At 43.4% G+C, this 21,684-nt stretch overlaps 1 protein-coding gene across 5 annotated transcripts in view, besides 1 other annotated feature; it reads left to right on the forward strand.

Annotated features, from left to right (window-relative positions):
• The window catches only part of ZNF609 (zinc finger protein 609), a 226,491-nt gene that overhangs the window by 3,489 nt on the left and 201,318 nt on the right, over positions 1-21,684 (forward strand). The gene's annotated exons all lie outside the window — the stretch shown is intronic.
• Positions 1,762-1,811: an enhancer, noted in NCBI's record as "active region_9569". NCBI's record gives its function as "activates an Ori minimal core promoter by ATAC-STARR-seq in GM12878 lymphoblastoid cells {active_cell/tissue: GM12878}" and the evidence as "EXISTENCE:reporter gene assay evidence [ECO:0000049][PMID:35858748]".

Here is a 21,684-nt window from a genome sequence, read left to right on the forward strand (position 1 = left end):
AACATAGTGAGAACTCATCTCTACAAAAATTTAAAAAAATACAGCTAGCTGGGCATAGTGGCACATGCCAGTGGTCCCAGCTACTCAGGAGGCTGAGGTGGGAAGATCGCTTGAGTTCAGGAGTTCGAGACCAGCTTGGGCAACATGGCAAAACCCCATCTCAACAAAAAATATAAAAAATGTTAGCTGGGTGTAGTGGCATACGCCTGTGGTCCCAGCTTCTTGGGAGGCTGAGGTAGAAAGATCTCGTTGAGCCCAGGAGGTTGAGGCTGCAGTGAGCTGTGATTGCACCGCTGTACTCCAGCCTGGGTGATAGAGCAGGACCTTGTCTTTAAAAAAAAAAAAAAAAAATTTGGGGCCTGGAAAAGAGGTTTCCATTTAGGACATTAAATACAACTTTTCTTTAAAAAGAGATTAGAAGTAAAACTCATTGTGAGTGGGGAATTGTATATAATGTGCTGTGTACACAATAGCCAATCATTTCCCATAGGATAGTGTTGAATAAGAACTTTAGCCTTTGGTTTTGGTAAAGGTCTTTCTGAGGCAATTAGTCTGTCTATGGTGCCTCCCTTATCCTTTTATTTCAGTGAGTTTCTTTAAATGATGGCCTGCCACTGAGGTGTTGGGCCTTTGATAGGAGGGAACAGGTTGTTCTGACCTTTATATATTTTTTGATAACAGAACTGTCTTCAGGCCTTACTGGAGGTGTTGTCTGTCTTTAGACTATTTCCAACTCTGTGTCCTAGGAATATTTGAGTGAAGCCTCAGCTAAACTGAGTCCAAAGCTTTTTGCTCTTGGGCTCTTGGCATTTATTTCTGAATGCTGTCAGGTGACAGTGAAGGCAGAAGCCTCAGATTAAATTTGTCCTGATTAGATTTAGTGGCTTCAGAGTTGGGCCCTTGCCACAAGGAATCTCATGTGAGTCTTCTGATTGTGACCATCATTCAAAGAGTGCTTTGGATTCCCCCCCAACTACCCGTCCCAGCTTCTTGGTAGAAAAAAATTTCCTTGTGATAGAAGTCTAGAAAGTTGGACAGATTAGTGCTTATTTTGTGAGGATATGGAGGCATAATTTTGGCTCCTGGTAGCAATTATGTTGCAATTAGCATATAGCAACTAAATGACTGGAACACGATAATTTGTTGAGGGGTTTACTGATTGCTCTGTCAAGTGGAAGTGCCACTCCTTATTTATTTTATTTATTTGACTCAGAACACTATTGCCTGAGCTTAGCCATGGAGGCTAAGTATAGCAATGATATGTGTTCTCCAGAAGTTCCCACTCTGCTTCCTCTTTGTAGTTACTTCTTTTCCAGGTACCTTAGTACTTGTACTGCCCTTTTCTCCTACTCTGAAGGTAGCTAAGCAATTGTTATTTCCCTCATGGAAAACTGGTCATGGATGGGAATACTGCCAGGCAGATGGGATTAGCCTGAGATGAGGCAGCCTTATATTGTGTGGGAAGTTTTCTTTTCAGTCTCTTAATTCTCTCTTCTACTTGATTTTTCAAAATCAGTTTCCTTTAAAGAAAACAAACAAAAACCCCACAAAATGCAAAATATCGTAATGTATTAAATATGCCTTCATGATACCTCTGTTATAAAAGTTGTCTGTGACAGACAAAATGAAGATAGGTGATGTTGATTGGCAGGTTCTGGGTCCACTAAGTGTCAGTGAAGGACTCTTTTCGCTAGGGAACAGGTAATTCACCAAAGCACCTGCCTAGCTGGGCATGTGGAATTGGCAGCAGCTGTGTAGCTGAAGAGGGATTACTGAGCAGGTGGTTGAAGAATCACATGCCACAGTGACAAGAAAATACTTGGTCTTCCGTGGGTTAGATTCAGTTTGTATGTGTGAAATTGCACTTTGTTTCACATTTCTTAATGCTTGTTGATTTGTTAGTAAGATGGTAATAGAATAGAGAAAGAGATTCTTCTGTAACTGTGGTTTTTTAGATCACTCAGTAGCATGCCCTAGACATGGCCCTACACGGCTCTATTGTATTTATGGGAGTTCTGGCTTTATGCTTTGTGCATGGGAGGGAAATAGTGGTAATTCAGTGTTTCTAGTACTTGTTTATTAAAGGGAAATGGGAAGGAGAAAATTTCTTGCTTTCAGTATGGTGAAAAAGATTTAGCCTACTGGGTGGATACCTAATAGGTTTTATGCAAATGATGTAATTGACTTTTTGTGGAAGTCTACCTGACATGCCTTACTCAAGTGATTTTGCATGTGTTTTTATATTATGTTTTTATATTATGAATATATTTCCCCACATGAAGTTTGCATCTCTTCGGTTGTTTATTTGTTTGTTTGTTTGTTTTTCTTTTTTGAGACGGAGTTTCGCTCCTGTGGCCCAGGCTGGAGTGTAATGGTGCGATCTCGGCTCACTGCAACCTCTGCCTCCCAGGTTCAAGCAATTGCTTGCGTCAGCCTCCTGAATGGCTGGGTCTACAGGCGCCCACCACCATGCCCAGCTAATTTTAGTATTTTTAGTAGAGATGGGGTTTCATTATGTTGGCCAGGCTGCTGTAGAGCTCCTGACCTCAGGTGATCCACCCACCTCGGCCTCCCAAAGTGCTGGGATTACAGGTGTGAGCCATCATGCCCTGCCAGTTGTTTTTTTCAATTTTTAGTTTCTCCCAGCACCTTTGTAACTCTTTTCCCTGACATTGACATTAACATCACTTGTTAGAACCAAGTCATCACCAGAAGAAATGATGTTAAGGAACATCACCACTAAATATTTATCTTAAAAACGGATATAGGCCGGGCGCAGTGGCTCATGCCTGTAATCCCAGCACTTTGGGAGGCTGAGGCGGGCAGATCACCTGAGGTCAGGAGTTTGAGACCAGCCTGGCTGACATGGTGAAACTCCATCTCTACTAATAATACAAAAATTAGCCAGGCTTGGTGGTGCACTCCTGTAATTCCAGCTACTCGGGAGGCTGAGGCAGGAGAATCGCTTGAACCCGGGAGGTGGAGGTTGCAGTGAGCTGAGATTGCGCCATCGCACTCCAGCCTGGTCAACAAGAATGAAACCCTGTCTCAAAAAAAAAAAAAAAAAAAAAAAGTTAGCGGGGGGTATAGCATTTCCTATAACTTGGGAAAAGACTATTTGAGGTTTTCTGAAAATTCAGATTTTTTAATAGATTATCATCTTCTGTTAATATGATTTTCTCTTTCATATGTTTGTGCCACTATAATAGGAATGCCATAGAGCCTAAAACTTGTAAGCAAGTAACTTTGTGTTTATTTTCTGACCTTTTTAGTGCCTTCCATTCATTTTCTATATTAGGCCAACAGGTTGTGTGCCCCTTCTCTTGAAACACATACACACACGACCTAATGGAATTCACAGGGTACTAATTAACGGATGATTGAAGAGAAATGAGCCATATGAACTGTTTTAAAGTTCAGAAATCTCTTTCCCACAGCCCAAGTGGAGTGAAGGCTCTTTGAGGGAAAGTGAGGCCAGACTATGACTCAGGTCAGGGCCTATGGAGCACTGCATAGATGGGGACATTTGCAGTGATCTACCTAAAGCTAAGCTAGCTTTAAGTGGAAGTCTAGCGACAGCAGTTAATTGTTTAGTATTCACTTCTAGGAAAGAATGTCAAGTTCTTGATTTCCTCATACGAAGCTATGGCAGTTTTTTATGTTTGTTTTATTAAAACTGTTCACAAACCACTTATGCTTTCCTAGCACTCTCAGTAGTTTGCTTCCTTTTACCTTTCCCCCACCCCCATCTCTTATCCCACTTCCCTACCCTGAAGACTTCTCTAGCAGCTTGGAAACACTCTAATTACTGTAGCTATTATAGTCACAACCCAGATCCTCCACCTCCTTCTCTCTCACCCCTTTCTTTCTTCCCCCCTCCCCTTGCTCTAGCAGCAGGAGTTGAACTGCAGTCTCATGAGCACAGTCAGATCTATGAATGAGCTTTATATCTTGTCAAGGCAGAACTCCAGATCCAACAGGGCTAATTTTTCATGGTTCTCTTGCTGTTTGTTCTTGGATCAGAGTCCCAGAAATAAGAGATGGCAAATACCTGTCAGGTCATATCTAGTCCATCACTCAGGGGCAAACCTAGGATTTTTCTCTTGTCTCTGTGAGAAATTTTTCCTTCTTTCTTTTGCAGGTGAGAGCTGTCTGATGCCAGACAAGCTCTGAAACTGCCTTCTTTTTATTGTGTTCTCTGGTCATTAGTGTCTGGCCAACTTCTTTGGGGTTTTTTTCTTTTTTAATTCCATTTTTCAGGAATACTTCCTCCCAGCAATATCTCTACCCCTTCTTCAGTCCTTTCTTCTTGATTGTGGGCATCACCTTTGTGGATTCCTTTTGTACCATCAGTTATCTATGCCAGAAGTATCACTTTTCTGACCTTTGCCACAAGTGTCACTGTGGCCTGCTTTTAAGGAGGTACATTTGATGAAAACACAGGACATAAATTCTAGCAGGTGGTAATTAATAAAATACTTTAGAAAACATGTGCCTTAGCCCGGTGCGGTGGCTTACGCCTCTAATCTAAGCACTTTGGGAGGCCGAGACGGGCGGATCATGAGGTCAAGAGATCGAGACCATCCTGGCCAACATGGTGAAATCCTGTCTCTACTAAAAATACAAAAATTAGCTGGGCATGGTGGCGCACGTCTGTAGTCCCAGCTACTCGGGAGGCTGAGGAAGGATGATTGCTTGAATCTGAGAGATGGAGGTTGCAGTGAGTGGAGATCGTGCCACTGCATTCCAGTCTGGCAACAGAGCAAGGCTCTGTCAAAAAGAAAAAAGAAAATATGTGCCTTAAGTAACCCCTGTACTATATGAACAAATGTTGCTTCTTCTGTTCTAACACTTCTCTTTATGTGGATGAAATTTTATTTTTCTGTGTCTTTGTTACAGTTAAGATATTGTCTAAGAGTGTTATGTTTTCTTTACTAGTATGCTTTTTTTTTTTTTCTTTTTTGAGGCAGGGCCTTGCTCTGTCACCAGGCTGGAGCATAGTGACACAATCACGATCACAGCTCACTGCAGGCTCAACCTCCTGAGCTCAAGCAATTCTCCTACCTCAGCCTCCCAAGCAGTTGGAAGTACAGGCAGGCGCCACCACACCCAGCTAATTTTTTTTTCCTCCCTCCCTCCCCTTCCTCTCCTTCCTCTCTTTCCTTCCTTCCTTCCTCCTTTCCTTTCCTTTCCTTTCTTTTCTTTTCTTTTCCTTCCTTCCTTCCTTCATTTTCTCCTCTCTCCTCCTCCTTCTGCTTCTCCTTCCTTAAGACAGGGTCTCACTCTGTTGCCTAGGCTGGAGTGCAATGGTGCAATCACAGCTCATTCCAGCCTCAATGCCACCACACCTGGCTAATTTTTTTGTGTGTTTTTTTTTGTTTCGCTGCATTGCCCAGGCTTGTCTTGAACTCCTGGGCTCAAGCCATCCTCCCACCTTGGCCTCCCAAAGTGCTGGGATTATAGGCATGAGCCACTGTGACCAGCCCAATTTTTAAATTGTTTTTGTAGAGATGGAGTCTCACTATGTTGTGTGCCACTGCACTCCAGTCTGGTTGCCCAGGCTGGTCTCAAATTCCTGGACTCAAGCAGTCCTCCTTCCATGGTTTCCCAAAGTGCTGGGACTACAGACATGAGCCACAATGCCTGGCTAGTATAGCTTTTCAAAGAATAGAGGGGAAAAAATCATAGAATTGAGAGTCATAAAACCCAGATTCTGATCATTACTGTGCCTCTAATTAGCTGTTTGTCCTTGTGCAAGTCATGCCCCTGTTTTCATGTGCCTCATCTGTGAAATGAACACATTAGACAGGATGATCACTGCGGTTCCATTTAGCTGTAGAATATCATGATACCAAGATTGAGAGTCAGGTTGACACTTGTAGTCCTAGCACTTTGGGAGGCTGAGGCAGGAGGATCACTTGAGCCCAGGAGTTGGAGACCAGCCTGGGCAACAGAGAGGCCTCATATCTTAAAAAAAAAAAAAAAAAAAACAACACAATTCAGCCTGGCCAACATGGTGAAACCTTGTCTCTACTAAAAGTACAAAATTAGCCGTGTGTGGTGGCACATGCCTGTAATCCCAGCTACTTGGGAGGCTGAGGCAGGAGAATCGCTTAAACTTGGGAGGTAGAAGTTGCAGTGAGCCGAGATCAAGCCATTGCACTCCAGCCTGGGCAACAAGAGATAAATTCCATTTCAATAAATACGTAAATAATTAGCCAGGTGGTGTGCACTGTGGTCCCAGCTCTTCAGGAAGCAGAGATGGGAGGATCGCTTGAGCCCAGGAGGTCGAGGCTGCAGTGAGCTGTGATCTCACCACTGCAATTCAGCCTTCACTCGCACAGAGCAAGACCCTATTTCCAAAAAAAAAAAAAAAAAAAAAAAAAGATTATGGTGGAAGAACAGGACAAAAATATTTAACATAAGTGAGCATCTTTTTTTTTTTTATTGCTGGTCAAAAATATAGCCGGTATTCAGAAGGGCTAATGAGTGCAATTTCAGTTCCCTGGGGCTTGACTCTCATACTCTTTGATTTGTTTGGAAGGCTGTACTTTTATTAGGCCATCTTTTTTTGGAGGGTTTTGTAGCCTCATTCTGCAGGCTCACCAACTTGCCGCATATATCTTTTTCTAGTGTGCTTAAAACATAGGAGTGGAAATCAGAAAGCTGCAAAAAAGGCTGGCCTGGCTTGGTGGCTCACGCCTGTAATCCTAGCACTTTGGGAGGCCGAGGCGGGTGGATCAGCTTGAGGTCAGGAGTTGAGAAAGCTGCAGAAAAGGAACCTTAGCTTGTGAGAAGGAAGTTGTACCTGGAAGGATTTGCCATCTATCAATAAGAAGTAACTTTGTAAATTCAGTCAAGGATCTAATAATCTATTATATCTGAAATCTGGGAGCTAAATTGGACTGATTATGGAGGTTAGTTGGATATTTTTCCACTTTTGACTAGTCAGTAGAAATTCCACTTTGAATTAACTTCTTGGGACTGAGTACAAGTTGAGTTGCCCACAGTGTTTTGTTCGGAAAATAAAATTATGTTGTTATTTATTTATTTTTGACAGGGTCTTACCCAGCCTTGACCTAGTGGGTTCACCTCAGCCTTCCAAGTAGCTGGGACTACAAAAGTGTGCCACCATGCTTGGTTAATTTTTGTAATTTTTTTTGTAGAGATGATGGTTTGCCATGTTGCTCAGGCTAGTCTTGAGCTCCTAGGCTCAAGCCATCCTCCTGCTTCAGCCTCCCAAAGTGGTGGGATTACAGGTTTGAGCCACTGCACCCAGCCAATTACGTTATTTTTAATGCTGAAAATGCACGTTGATGACATTTGCCGAAGTATGACGAACAAGGGGGTATCTCTGAAATACCCTCCTAAAAGAGACGAGAAATGAAAAGCTGGTTGGTAAGTGTTTCAGGAACTTTCAGATTGAGAGTAATGTTAGGAAGTATTTGCTTTCAAGCAGTTTTTTTTTTCTTTTTGAGATGAAGTCGCTCTGTTGCCCAGGCTGGAGTGCGTTGGCGTGATCTTGGTTCACTGCAACCTCCACCTCCAGAGTTCAGGCGATTCTCCTGCCTCAGCCTCCTGAGTAGCTGGGATTACAGGCGTGTGCCACCATGCCTGGCTAATTTTTGTATTTTTAGTAGAGATGGGGTTTCACCATGTTGTTCAGGCTGGTCTCGAACTCCTGACCTCATGATCCACCCGCCTTGGCCTCCCAAAGTGTTGGGATTACAGGCGTGAGCCACTGCACCCGGCCTCTTTCAAGCAGTTTTAAGGAAATAAAATTACACAGCCAAGTTGTTAATTCCCCATATTAGGATTTTTATCAGCATTTTTCAGTTAATTATTTGATCTGGGACTTCGAGTAGCAGCTATTAATACTTATTGAATAGTAAGAGGATGCTGGTCTTTTAGTCTTCTGTTGTTGTTAACATAGCAAAATCATAGGTTTAATCTACCTTTGAACATTGGAAATAATGTTCACTGTTTTCAGATTTGTACTTAAAACATCTGTTGGTCCAGGCACGGTGGCTCACACCTGTAATTCCCGCACTTTGAGAGGCCAAGGCTGGCGGATCAGTTGAGGCCAGGAAGAGACCAGCCTGGTGAACATGGTGAAAGCCCGTCTCTACTAAAAATACAAAAAAATAAGTTAGGCGTGGTGGCATATGCCTGTAATCCCAGCTACTCAGGAGGCTGAGGCATTAGAATCATTTGAACCTGGGAGGCAGAGGTTGCAGTGAGCTGAGATTGCCCCCCTGTACTCTAGCCTGGGTGACAGAGCAAAATTGTGTCTTTAAAAAAAAAAAAAAATTCTATTGGTCTGGAGTAGAAAAATTTGGTAGGCAAAACTTGTTTGTTTTGGATCATTAAAAAGTCCTGAGAGTGCCTTGCTTTATTCCCAGCCATCTATAGCACATTACTAATTTTTAGTTCATCTAAAGGTTATTTGGGGAAGTGTTCCACTTGAATGTGAGATTTTAGAATGATTTATATTAGAAATATAAGTAGTTTGTTTTTTGTTTTTTTTGTCCCCCCAAGATGGAGTTTCTCTTTGTTGCCCAGGCTGGAGTGCAGTGGCACAGTCTTGGCTCACCGCAACTTCCGCCTCCCGGTTTCAGGCGATTCTCCTGCCTCAGCCTCCTGAGTAGGTGGCATTACAGGCATGCGGCACCACGCCTGGCTAATTTTTTATTTTTAGTGGAGATGGGGTTTCTCCATGTTGGTCTGGCTGGTCTCGAACTCCCAAACTTAGGTGATCCGCCAACCTCGGCCTCCCAAAGTGCTGGGATTACAGGCATGAGCCACCATACCCGGCCAATATAAGTAGCTTTTTCTTTGTTTTTGTTTTTGTTTTGTTTGTTTGAGATGGAGTCTTGCTCTGTCACCCAGGCAGGAGTGCAATGGCACAATCTCAGCTAACTGCATCCTCAGCCTCCTGGGTTCAAGTGATTCTCCTGCCTCAGCCTCCCGAGTAGCTGGTATTATAGGTGTCTGCCACCACGCCCAGCTAATTTTTGTATTTTTTAGTAGAGATGGGGTTTCCCCATGTTGGTCAGGCTTGGTCTCAAACTCCCAACCTCAGGTGATCCACCCGCCTCGGCCTCCCAAAGTGCTGGGATTACAGCCGTGAGCCACCACACCCGGCCTATAAGTAGTTTTTATAGATGGTTTAAAAAAAGTGTGAAGTGCAGCATGGGGGTTGGATTGCAAAGTAGCCAAAGTGGGTACCACGAAACCTTTGGCTATCATACCACAGCATGAAATCCAGATGAGGCAGTTAGTCCATATTGCATGCTGGTACCACATTTCATGCTGGTACCTATAGTTTCTTAGACTGTAGTTCAGTATTTGTGGAGAAAGACAGCAGTGTCTGCTCTATCCTGTGTACAAAGTACAGCTAGTGTGGTCTTGGGATATTATCAGCAGCATACCTAGCAACATTCCTAGGTGGGCACTTTGTGTCTGGTTGAGATGAATTTTCATTCATATGAATAGAAGTGAATGTTCATGAATATAAGACGGGTGCGGTGGCTCTTCCTTGTAATCCCAACACTTTGGGAGGCCGAGGCTGGAGGATCACGTGAGCCCAGGAGTTCAAGGCCAACCTGGACAACATAGACCCCATCTCTACAAAAAATTTGAAAACCTGCCATGGTGGCACACTCCTGTAGTTCCAGCTACATGGGAAGTGGATCACTTGAGCTTGGGAGGTTGAGGCTGCCGTGAACTGTGATCATGCCACTTTACTCCAGCCTGGGCAGCAGTGAGACCCTGTCTCAAAAATAATAAAAAAAATAAAGACCAAGAATATACCTTGTAAATTTCAGCTACAAATTCTGAAATTCGGTGTAAAGCTCAGCATTTATCTGTTTTGGAACAGATGCTTCTAGAGCAGAGTTCTAAAGAATGGTATCAAAAATGAAACTATAAGAAAAGACATGGAATTGTAAAGCTTATGACATATATATCTGAAGGGTAAGGAAGGGAAGAAATTTGTTTCTACTTGGCATATGCTTTCAGATGTACTTCCCGTTCATAATTTGAAACCCGCCTATGCTTTTCTCCTTGAAGCATTGCTGTTCTTCCAGTTGCTTTGGCTTAAAACTTTTGACTCATATTTGGTTCTTTTTTTTTTTTTTTTTTTTTTTTGGAGACAGAGTCTTGCTCTGTCGCCCAGGCTGGAGTCCAGTGGTGTGGTCTCGGCTCACTGCAACCTCTGCCTCCTGGGTTCAAGCGATTCTCCTGCCTCAGCCTCCCAAGTAGCTGGGATTACAGATGCCCACCACCATGCTTGGCTAATTTTTGTATTTTTAGTAGAGACAGGATTTCACCATGTTGGCCAGGCTGGTCTCGAACTGCTGACCTCGTGATCTGCCTACCTCGGCCTCCCAAAGTGCTGGGATTACAGGCATGAGCCACCGCGCCTGGCCTCATATTTGGTTCTTTTTTTCGTCCTCACCACCTCATCTGAATCATTCACCAAATTACGTATCTAAGCATTCACTAATTGGATAGCCTGACATTTAGCCTCACTAGTTAGCCTTTTTCTTTTTTTTTGAGACAGAGTCTTGCTCTGTCACCCAGACTGGAGTGCAGTGGTGCGATATCGGCTTACTGCAACCTCCACCTCCTGGGTTCAAGCGATTCTCCTGTCTCAGCCTCCCAAAGAGCTGCGATTACAGGTGCATTTCACTACGCCCAGCTAATTTTTGTATTTTTTTGAGATGGAGTCTCAGTCTGTCGCCCACACCCCGTCTCAGTGCAGTGGCGTGATCTCGGCTCACTGCAACCTCTGCCGCCCAGGTTCAAGCAATTCTCCTGCCTCAGCCTCCCGAGTAGCTGTGATTACAGGCGCCTGTCATTGCACTCGGCTAATTTTTGTATTTTTAGTAGAGATGGGGTTTCACCATCTTGGCCAGGCTGGTCTTGAACTCCTGACCTTGTGATCCACCTGCCTCGGCCTCCCAAAGTGCGGAGATTACAGGCGTGAGCTACCGTGCCTGGCCAATTTTTATATTTTTAGTAGAGACGGGGTTTCACCATCTTGGCCAGGCTGGTCTCGAACTCCTGACCTCAGGTGATCCTCCCGCCTCGGCCTCCCAAAGTGCTGGGATTACAGGCGTGAGCCACCACACCTGGCCTAGCCTCACTTTTTTTTTTTTTTGAGACTGAGTTTTGCTCTTGTTGCCCAGGCTGGAGTGCAATGGCACAATCTCGGCTCACTGCAACCTCTGCCTCCCAGGTTCAAGCAATTCTCCTGCCTCAGCCTCCCGAGTAGCTGGGATTACAGGCGTACGCCACCATGCCTGGCTAATTTTGTATTTTTAGTAGCGACGGGGTTTCTCCATGTTGTTCATGCTGGTCTCGAACTCCCGACCTCAGGTGATCCGCCTGCCTCAGCCTCCCAAAGTGCTGGGATTACAGGTGTGAGCCTGGCCTCACTTTTTAATCTGACCTAGTTCAGGTCTTCATCTTCTATATATTATTGCAATAACCTCATGGTTATTGCCTTTTTTTGTATTGCATACTACATACAACTGCTGTATTATAATTTTTATTTACTCATTTAGGTAATATTTACTGGGCACTTATATGCCAGGCCACACATAGTCTTGTCCTGTTTGGACTTGTAGTCTAGTGGGAGAGACAATTAATGAATTTATGATTATGAACTAAAGTGCTCTGAAAGATAAGAATTTTGTTCTAGAAGAGTGTGTGCAAATAAAGCCAGCGTAGACCTTTAAAATTACAATTTTGATCATTTTGCTTCTTTCTATAAAATCTTCGATGGTTCCCATTGCCTACATAGGTCAATATTCAAGGTTCTTTATGATTTGACCAAACCTGGCCTTCCTCAACCTTATTTCATATTTTTCATTTTATCCATATCTTTTTTGTTGTTTGTTTTTAAGATACGGGCTCTTGCTATGTTTCCCTGGCTGGCCTCAAACTCCTGGGCTCAAGTGACCTCCTACCTCAGCCTCCCAAATAGCTGAGATTACAGGCCTGTGCTAGCATACCCAGTTTATCCTTTTTTTTTTTTTTTTTTTTTTTACAGCTATTCCTCTAAGTTACCCTGCATTTTTCAGTCTCCATTTCTTAGGGTTTTTTTTTCTCTTCTGTTCTGTTGGAATGCACTACCTTGCTCCCAGGACAGTTAACTCCCAAATCTAACCATTCCTTCAACTTAGCAAAAAAATTTCCTTCCTGAAGCCTTTCTTATCCCACTTCTTCCTATCCACCTATCTCCAGAATTGATTTCATCCTCCTCTTTATCTCTAACTTTTTGCTGGGATCTCTGTTGTAGTACTTTATCACATGTTGTCTTTTTTTTTTTTTTTTTTTGAGACGGAGTCTTACTCTGTCACCCAGGCTAGAGTGCAGCGATCTTGGCTCACTGCAACCTCCACCTCCCAGGTTCAAGCGATTCTCCTGCCTCAGCCTCCCGAGTAACTGGGATTACAGTTGCCCGCCACCGCGCCTGGCTAATTTTTGTATTTTAGTAGAGACGGGGTTGAGTTTCACCATCTTGGCCAGGCTGGTCTCGAACTCCTGACCTCGTGATCCACCTGCCTTGGCCTCCGAAAGTGCTTGGATTACAGGCATGAGCCACCGCGCCCAGCCCGCATGTTGTCTTTAACTGTAATTATTTGTGAATATATTTTCTTCATCCCTCATTTTAAGCTCGTGAGATACCTGTGTCTCCTCTGTTCCGTAAACTCTTAGCCCAGTGCTTCTTTGAATATAACTTTATGCTTAATTAATGCTTGATGAATTGAATTAGAACTTGATTCTTGAAAAAAGAAATTGTGATTTTTTTAGACTTCTTTTTATGCAAAAGTAACGTAACTTCCATTCAACACATTTTATCCCAAATTGAATAAACTAGGGAAAAGGCAGACGGTGAATGCCTTGAGAAATTGTTCAGATTCAAGGACAAGCATTTGTTGCCTTTACTGCATATGACTGTACTGTGGTTCCATACATCCGAGCTGATAGAAAACTTGCAGCAAGGGTCTAGTGGTGATGCATGGCAGGTGGAGGTGAGATAAATTTAGTCACAGGAACCAAATTGGTTCTGCTAGGGCAATATAGGCATTGTTGGGCCATCTGGGTGTGGTTGACTTCTGGGAGGTCTTTTTAGTTTTTCTTTCTCACTTCATTCCATAAATATTTATTGGATGCCCTGTTCTAGTTGTTTAAGATCAATGAACAAAATAGACCAAAAAAAAAAAATCAACCTCATGGATATTATCTTTGAATAGGAGATAGAAATAAACATAATAATATATAAAATTAGAAAGGTAATATATGATATGGGGAAAAGTACAGCAGGATAAGGAGAATTGGGAGTGGAAAAGAGGGTTAGGTAGGAGAGGTGGGAGGGGTTGCAACCCTAAATAAGATGGTTAAAGTAGAGATCTTTGAGAAATGTTGTGTTACTGGGTTGTTAGGCACTTCCCTGAGATTAGTGGATTCTCTTCTGCCCAGCAGAGAGAAAGGCAATGTCTACAGTTGTTCCAGAGTCCAGCTGACACTGAGGAGAAATAGCTACTCCTTATGTTCTTTTCTCCTGTCTGCTCCTCTTGCTGGCATCACTGGAAGTTAACTGGGGTGAAAATTGCAGTCAGTCTTGTCTGGAAGACAGCAGGGGTGGAACTAGAGACCTTCTAACCCAGTTCCCTGAGGGGTGGGATTTACCCTTCTGCTGACTGAGCCTTGGTTGCCTGGAGTGATGGGTGAGGTAGGCCTCTGACTTTTTTCCTTCCTCAAAGGGAGAAGCCCAGTATCATAACCTTCTCTCTTCTTAGTGAGGCCTCAGCAACTTTATTTCAGGTAGCTCTTTAAAAATAAGCTTTCAAAGAGTGTGTGCTATGCGCCTGGCCTAAAGCGTGAATTTTCAGGTTTTTGGTGCTTTGACTTCCTCTCAACACATTAGCTGTGTTTTGGAAGTCTCAGTACCTAATTTCAGCAGCCTAAAGATGAAGTTTTCTTATGTCTAGATGCTCTCTTGTTTGAATTGCACATTGTAAATTTATTTGTTTATTCCCTTGCTTACTCTTCTCTTTCTTTTTTTTTTTTTTTTTTTTTTGAGACGGTGTCTTGCTTTGTTGCCTAGGCTGGAGTGCAGTGGCGTGATCTTGGCTCACTGCAAGCTCTGCCTCCCCGGTTCAGGCCATTCTCCTGCCTCAGCCTTCCAAGTAGCTGGGACTACAGGCGCCTGCCCCCACACCCAGCTAATTTTTTGTATTTTTAGTAGAGATGGGGTTTCACCGTGTTAGCCAGGATGGTCTCGATCTCCTGACCTCGTGATCCGCCGGCCTCAGCCTCCCAAAGTGCTGAGATTACAGGCGTGAGCCACCACGCCTGGCCTGCTTTACTTACCCTTTTCTAACTCTTCTACTTCATTATTTTTCTTGTTACCCTTTCCCTTTTCTCCTTTCATGAAGCTGATAGGAAACAGAAGTCCCTTAGGCCAGACAGCTATTTAGGTAATTGGCTAGAAGCTAAAATGTATACCTAATATGCAAGCAATGGAATGGAATGTCTTATTTCCTTTTTTTTTTTTTTCTTTTTTTTGAAACAGAGTCTCGCTCTGTCACCCAGGCTGGAGTGCAGTGGCGCGATCTCAGCTCACTGCAACATCTAACTCCCAGGTTCAAGCAAGTCTCCCACCTCAGCCTCCCGACTGGCTGGGATTACAGGCATGCGCCACCGCGCCCAGCTAATTGTTATGGTTTTGGTAGAAACGGGGTTTTACCATGTTGGCCAGGCTGGTCTTGGAACTCCTGACATCAGGTGATCCACCCACCTCAGCCTCCCAAAGTGCTGGGATTATAGGCATGAGCCACTGTGCCTGGCTGCATATCTTATTTCTGTCCACATGTTATATTGGATTCAGCTTGTGGACATCAAGCTCTCAGCCTGTTACACTATATGCCATTTGATGTAGCTGAGGATATATTGGGACCCATTTACTCTGTTTTTGGTTATTTATACCACCAGCTTGTGTAGTTTCAGTACACAAGAAGACCTATTTGCCATTTTGTAAAAATGTGGTCTTTTTCATATTTAATTTTAGAATAAAGGTGTGTGTGTGTGTGTGTGTGTGTGTGTGTGTGTGTGTGTGTCTGTTTAAAGAGGTGGGGTCTTGCTGTGTTGCCCAGGTTGGAGGACAGTGGCTATTCACAGGTGTGATCATAAGTGTGCCATGGCCTCAAACTCATAGGCTTGAGCTGTCTTCCTACCTCAGCCTCCCAGGTAGCTGGGACTACAGGCACATGGCACTGCACCTGGCAGAATAAATGAACTTTTTTTTTTTGAGACGGAGTCTCACTCTGTTGCCCAGGCTGTGGTGCATTGTTGCGATCTCGGCTCACTGCAACCTCTGCCTCCTGGGTTCAAGTGAGTCTCCTGCCTCAGCCTTCCAAGTAGCTGGGATTACAGGTGCCTGCCACCAAGCCCGGCTAATTTTTGTATTTTTAGTTTTTAGTAGAGACAGGGTTTCACCATGTTGGCCAGGCTGGACTCAAACTCCTGACCTCAAGTGATCCCCCACTTCCCAGACTCCCAAAGCACTGGGATTACAAGTATGAGCCACCACATGGCCAGAATAAATGAATTTTGTGGTGAACTCAGATCCATACTAAGGAAAAATCTATTACTTTTAAGCAGACAGAGTTCTAATATTGGGTGGTCTTCTGGGCAGATTTTATATTACCTTTCTCTGGGAGGGTTTGCTGTATATCAAACTTGAAGTCATACATTCTCCCTACCTATGCTTAAGTAGTACATAACATATTACTGATATTGTGAATTTTAAAGCCAGCAGCTGTTAATCCAAGTGTATGTTGTTGTTTTCTTTAGTGGTTGAAAGGATATCAGTTTAACTGACCAAACTGTATTGCTTTTATTAGTAAGAGAACTTGAACATAGCTTGTTTGCTGCTGTTTACTTAATAATGTTTCTGTGGTTTGTGTTAGTAGGCCCTTCCAGTTGCAGAGCTAGAAATCTAGGCAATGTGGATTTCAGATGAGTTTCGTAACACTATCTGACACAGTGGGAAGTTCAAGGAAGTATCTGGCAATATTATTTTTCTTATGGAGCCTTTCCATAAGAAAGAAATTCAGTTATAACAAGGTCACATTTGGGTAGGTGACATAATGGTGAAATGACATTTTCTGCCAATAACAAAACCTATATATTGTACCTGTGTGATTTTTTTTTTTTTTTTTTTTTTTTTGAGACAGAGTCTCGCCCTGTTGCCCAGGCTGGAGTGCAGTGGCGCAATCTCGGCTCACTGCAAGCTCTGCCTCCCGGATTCACACCATTCTCCTGCCTCAGCCTGCCAAGTAGCTGAGACTACAGGTGCCCACCACCACGCCTGGCTAATTTTTTGTATTTTTAGTGGAGATGGGGTTTCACTGTGTTAGCCAGGATGGTCTCTATCTCCTGACCTTGTGATCCGCCCATCTCGACCTCCCAAAGTGCTGGGATTACAGGCATGAGCCACCGCGCCTGGCCCGTACCTGTGTGATCTTAAGCATTTGATTTATTTAAAAGTTACCAGGGCTGGGTGTGGTGGTTCACGCCTGTAATCCCAGCGCTTTGGGAAGCCGAGGTGGGCGGATCACTTGAGGTCAGGAGTTCGAGACTAGCCTAGCCAATGTGGTGAAACCCCGTCTCTACTAAAAATACAAACATTAGCTGGGCATGGTGGTGCACACCTGTAATCCCAGCTACTCAGGAGGCTGAGGCAGGAGAATGGCTTGAACCCGGGAGGCAGAGGTTGTAGTGAGCCAAGATTGCACCACTGTACTCCAGCCTGGGCGACAGACTGAGACTCTGTCTCAAATTTAAAAAAAATTAAAAATGAAAGTGTTATTGGCCAGGAGCAGTGGCTCACGCCTTTAATCCTAACACTTTGGGAGGCTTGAGGTGGGCAGATCACCCTGAAGTCAGAAGCTCGAAACCAGCCTGGCGAACGTGGCAAAACCCCGTCTCTACTAAAAATACAAAAAATTAGCCTGGCATGGTGGCAGGTGCCTGTAATCCCAGCTCCTCAGGGGGTCTGAGGCAGGAGAATCGCTTGAACCTGGGAGGCAGAGGTTGCAGTGAGCCGATATCGTGCCACTGCACTCCAGCCTGGGCAACAGAGCAAGACTCCATCTCCAAAAAAAAGGTGTGCTGGGCGCAGTGGCTCACGCCTGTAATCCCAGCACTTTGGGAGGCTGAGGCAGGTGGATCACCTGAGGTCAGGAGTTCGAGACCAGCCTGACCAACATGGTGAAACCCCGTCTACTAAAATACAAAAATTAGCTGGGCGTAGTGGCGGGTGCCTGTAATCTCAGCTACTTGGGAGGCTAAGGCGGGAGAATAGGTTGAACCCAGGAGGCGGAAGTTGCAGTGAGCCGAGATTCCACCACTGCACTCCAGCCTGCACAACAAGAGTGAGACTCCATCTCAAAAAAAAAAACAAAAAAAGTGTTACCAATAATTTAATTCTCATCTCATATGCTTGATGGAAGGAGACTAACTGTTCAGGTGTAGTACTGCTCTGGGCTATATACCTCATAGGAATGATAGAGGCAGCAAGTGATTATTATAAGGAATAACAAGCAATAGTAATGTTAATTTTTTCCCTATAACCAGGGAAGTAGCATGGAAGTTTGAAAGGTTTAAATCCTTGCTTAAATAAAAATGTCAGTCCTAATCAGAATAATGGGACTGAACTTGAAATGTTAAAGGAATTGGAGAAGCTGCAAAATTAGGTCAGATAGTAATAGAAGGTTTATTTATACATAGATTGATTAAATTCTTCATTGAGAGCAAATGTGGTTTTGACTAAGATAAGCTACTCCCGACAATTGGCAGTTTTAGAACATACAAAGCAAATAAATAACCTGAATTTTACCCGGAGGAACAAATAAGAATTGATTCAGGTTTCTGTAGGTCAGGCATTATTTCATAATAATTATACCGTGATTAAGTTCAGCATTCTTCAGAAAGGAGAACAAAATCTGTCATGCGAGGATTCATTTTTAGGAAATTGAGCTGTGATCATGTATATATTAGGGTGAGTGGAGAGGAAGATTTTAAAGAGAAACCTACTGGAAATTTAAAGACTTAAAAATCATCATATTTGAAATACATGTTAAAAGAATGCAAGAGATCAAAAGGACCATACAAAACAGTTGGTTATTTGGCATAGGCTTAGAGGCTGTGGAGAGAAGAAAGGCATCTTTCTTTTTTCTTTTTTTTTTTTTTTTTTGAGACGGAGTTTCACTCTTGTTGCCCAGGCTGGAGTGCAATGGCGCGATCTCGGCTCACCGCAACCTCTGCCTCCCAGGTTCAAGCGATTCTTCTGCCTCAGCCTCCCTAGTAGCTAGGATTACAGGCATGTGACACCACGCCTAGCTAATTCTGTATTTTTAGTAGAGGCGGGGTTTCTTCATGTTGGTCAGGCTGGTCTCGAACTCCCGACCTCAGGTGATCCGCCTGCCTCGGCCTCCCAAAGTGCTGGGATTACAGGCATGAGCCACCGTGAAGAAAGGCATCTTTCTAAGAAGAAGGCATTTCTAAAATATTGGAAACGTTTTCAGTCAAGGCCAGAGAAGCCCACAGACTGATTAGGAACAACCTAGAAATTAGGTGAATAAAAGATGAATTCAATAAGCCTCTTTGTAGAAATGATTAGGTAAGAGATTTTGTGTTTTTTGTTTATTTGTTTGTTTTTGAGATGAAGTCTTGCTCTGTCGCCTAGGCTGGAGTACAGTGGCACGATCTCGGCTCACTTCAACCTCCACCTCCTGGGTTCAAGTGATTCTCCTGCCTCAGCCTCCTGAGTAGCTGGGATTATAGTCACACGCCACCACACCTGGCTAATTTTTATATTTTTAGCAGAGATGGGGTTTCACCATGTTGATCAGGCTGGTCTCGAACTCCTGACTTTGTGATCCGCCTGCCTTGGCCTCCCAAGGCTGGGATAACAGGTGTCAGCCACCGTGCCCAGCCTTGTTTTTGTTTTTAAAAAAGATATGTTATAATGAAAAGGTCAGCTAGAGAATTGGTAAGACTACTTAATCATGGTGTGAAAGATCCATTTAAGAATGAAAACATTAGAGAATTTCCACTATTTCTTTCCAACCAGATTAAAGTTTCTAGTACAAATGATGATAGATGCTTAACTTTTTTTAAAAGTTTTTTTCTGATTGGAACGTGAATAAATCCTCTAGAAAGTACAGAAAAATATCTAGAAGTCCCAGGAATTATCCCAGAAATGTTAACATTTATTTAATATTTCCTATACGTTTTTTTTTTCTGGCTGCCTAGGCTTTTCTTGATTAAATCAGTAAACTTGATGAGCTCAAATTTATCTACCCAAGAATTTAGGAAGAATTCAGAGTTAGCCTGTGGAATGCTTAGTGAAAGTATAGTACCTTAAATTGTAAGTGGCATGGTTACTATACTAAGGAACTGGTGTAGATTTCAGATGTGGTTCTGTCCATAAGAAGGGTTCAGAGTGAAGGGACTAAAAACTACACCATATTAGAAAGCTGGAAAATGTAGATTAAAGATTGAGATGATTTGGTGCCAGTCATGTAATTTGTTGGCGTCAAGGCAATGGGTTAGTTTACATAAGGAAAAATCACATATGACAGATCATTAATACTTTTATGTGAACACAGTTGTTACCAGTAGACATTGTTTAGTTTGAAAAGACTTATGGTAAGGAAGGTCAGACCAAAGACTGCTTGAAAACTTTAGTCATGGAGTGTCAGAAAATTGTTTTGTTGTGAATTAGCAAACTGATTTTCTGACGGTAAATACTTGCCTAGGTCTACAGTCCCTTCGGTTCTAAAAACCTCCAAAAGCTCTGAAAACTGAAAGATTTTTGAAAAGATATGCACAAATCTGACTTCAACTAATAAAAGGCTATTTATAGTCTTTTTATGTAAAGTAAATATTCATATTGCTGGAGGAATATTAACGAATTTGATTACAGTGTGCTGTTTCAGTTTTTTCTTTCTTTTTTTTTTTCCCCCTGAGATGGAGTTTCACTCTTATCACCCAGGCTGGAGTGCAATGGTGCTATCTCAGCTCCCTGCAACCTCCACCTTCCGGGTTCAAGTGATTCTTCTGCCTCAGCCTCCTGAGTTGCTGGAATTACAGGCATGTGCCACCACGCTCAGCTAATTTTGTATTTTTAGTGGAGACGGGGTTCTCCATGTTGGTCAGGCTGGTCTCGAACTCCCAGCCTTAGGTGATCTGCCCGCCTCAGCCTCCCAAAGTGCTGGGATTACAGGCGTGAGCCACCAAGCCTGGCCTCTTTTTTTTTGAGGCAAGTTCTTACCCTGTCAGCCAGGCTGGAGTGCAGTGGCAGAATCATGGCTCACTGCTTCATCGACCTCCTGGGCTCCAGTTATCATCCTGTCTCAACCTTCTGAGTAGCTGGGACTACAGATGCATACCACCACGCCTGGCTACATTTCTTATTTTAGTAGAGACAAGGTCTGGCTATGTTGCCCAGGCTGGTCTTGAACTCCTGAGCTCAGATGACCCTCCCACCTTGGCCTCCCAAAGTGCTGAGATTACAGGTGTGAGCCACCATGCCCAGCACTGTTTCAGTGTCTACTGACAGCATTACACTCTACTATATAAGGTGTATTAATTATCTGAGCTGGCCTTGAACTCCTGGGCTCAAAAATCATCCTCTTGCCTCAACCTCCAGAATAGCCAGGACTGTAAGCACACATCATCACACCTGGCTATTTCAGCTTCTCACAGATGAAATAACTGAGGCCCAAATAGCTGTAGTGACTTCCCAATGTTATTACACATCTAGGGAGAGTAAATAGTAGAATTGAGTTTTTCTGCCTGCTTACTTGGTTTTGTGTTTTTTTTTCCCCCATTGCACTGTGCTGCTTCCTTGTTAATCAAATATTAACAAGTTTGATCAGAGGGTGCTGTTTCAGTTTCTTTCCTTTTTTTTTTTTTTGTCCTGGTGACATTGCCTCCAAAGACCATCTTGATGATAAATAAGTTCTATGTGGAAGAGTTTAGTGACATTCATCTTATTTGACATTTTAATAAATGTTTCACATAAGTGAAATATTGAGATTTTCCTATGACATTAAACTCTTCCAGGTAGTTAGGTCCCCAAATTGTTGAGATTATGCTTCAGGAATATCTTGACTGAGGTGAAAAGTAAATGAGCTTCAGTGTGGATAAGAATTGCATTTAAAAAGAGGGAGAAAGTCTAAACTACTTTCTTAGGATGTGTAATTTTTAGCTAACAATTGCAGCCCCCAGTAGAAATTAAGAATCTTGGCCGGGCACAGTGGCTCACGCCTGTAATCCCAGCACTTTGGGAGGCAGAGGTGGGCGGATCACGAGGTCAGGAGTTCCGGGCCAGCCTGGCCAACATGGTGAAACCCCGTCTCTACTAAAAATACAAAAATTAGCTGGGCGTGGTGGCGCGTGCCTGTAATCCCAGCTGTTCGGGAGGCTGAGGCAGGAGAATCGTTTGAACCTGGGAGGTGGAGGTTGCAGTGAGCCAAGATTGCGCCATTGCACTCCAGCCTGGGCAACAGGGTGAGACTCTGTCTCAAAAAAAAAAAAAAAAAAAGCTGGATGCGGTGGCTTATGCCTGTAATCCCAGCACTTTGGGAGGCCGAGGCGGGC

The sequence above is a fragment of the Homo sapiens genome, chromosome 15 (genome assembly GCF_000001405.40).
Source record: "Homo sapiens chromosome 15, GRCh38.p14 Primary Assembly".
NCBI classification, from domain to species: Eukaryota; Metazoa; Chordata; class Mammalia; order Primates; family Hominidae; genus Homo; species Homo sapiens.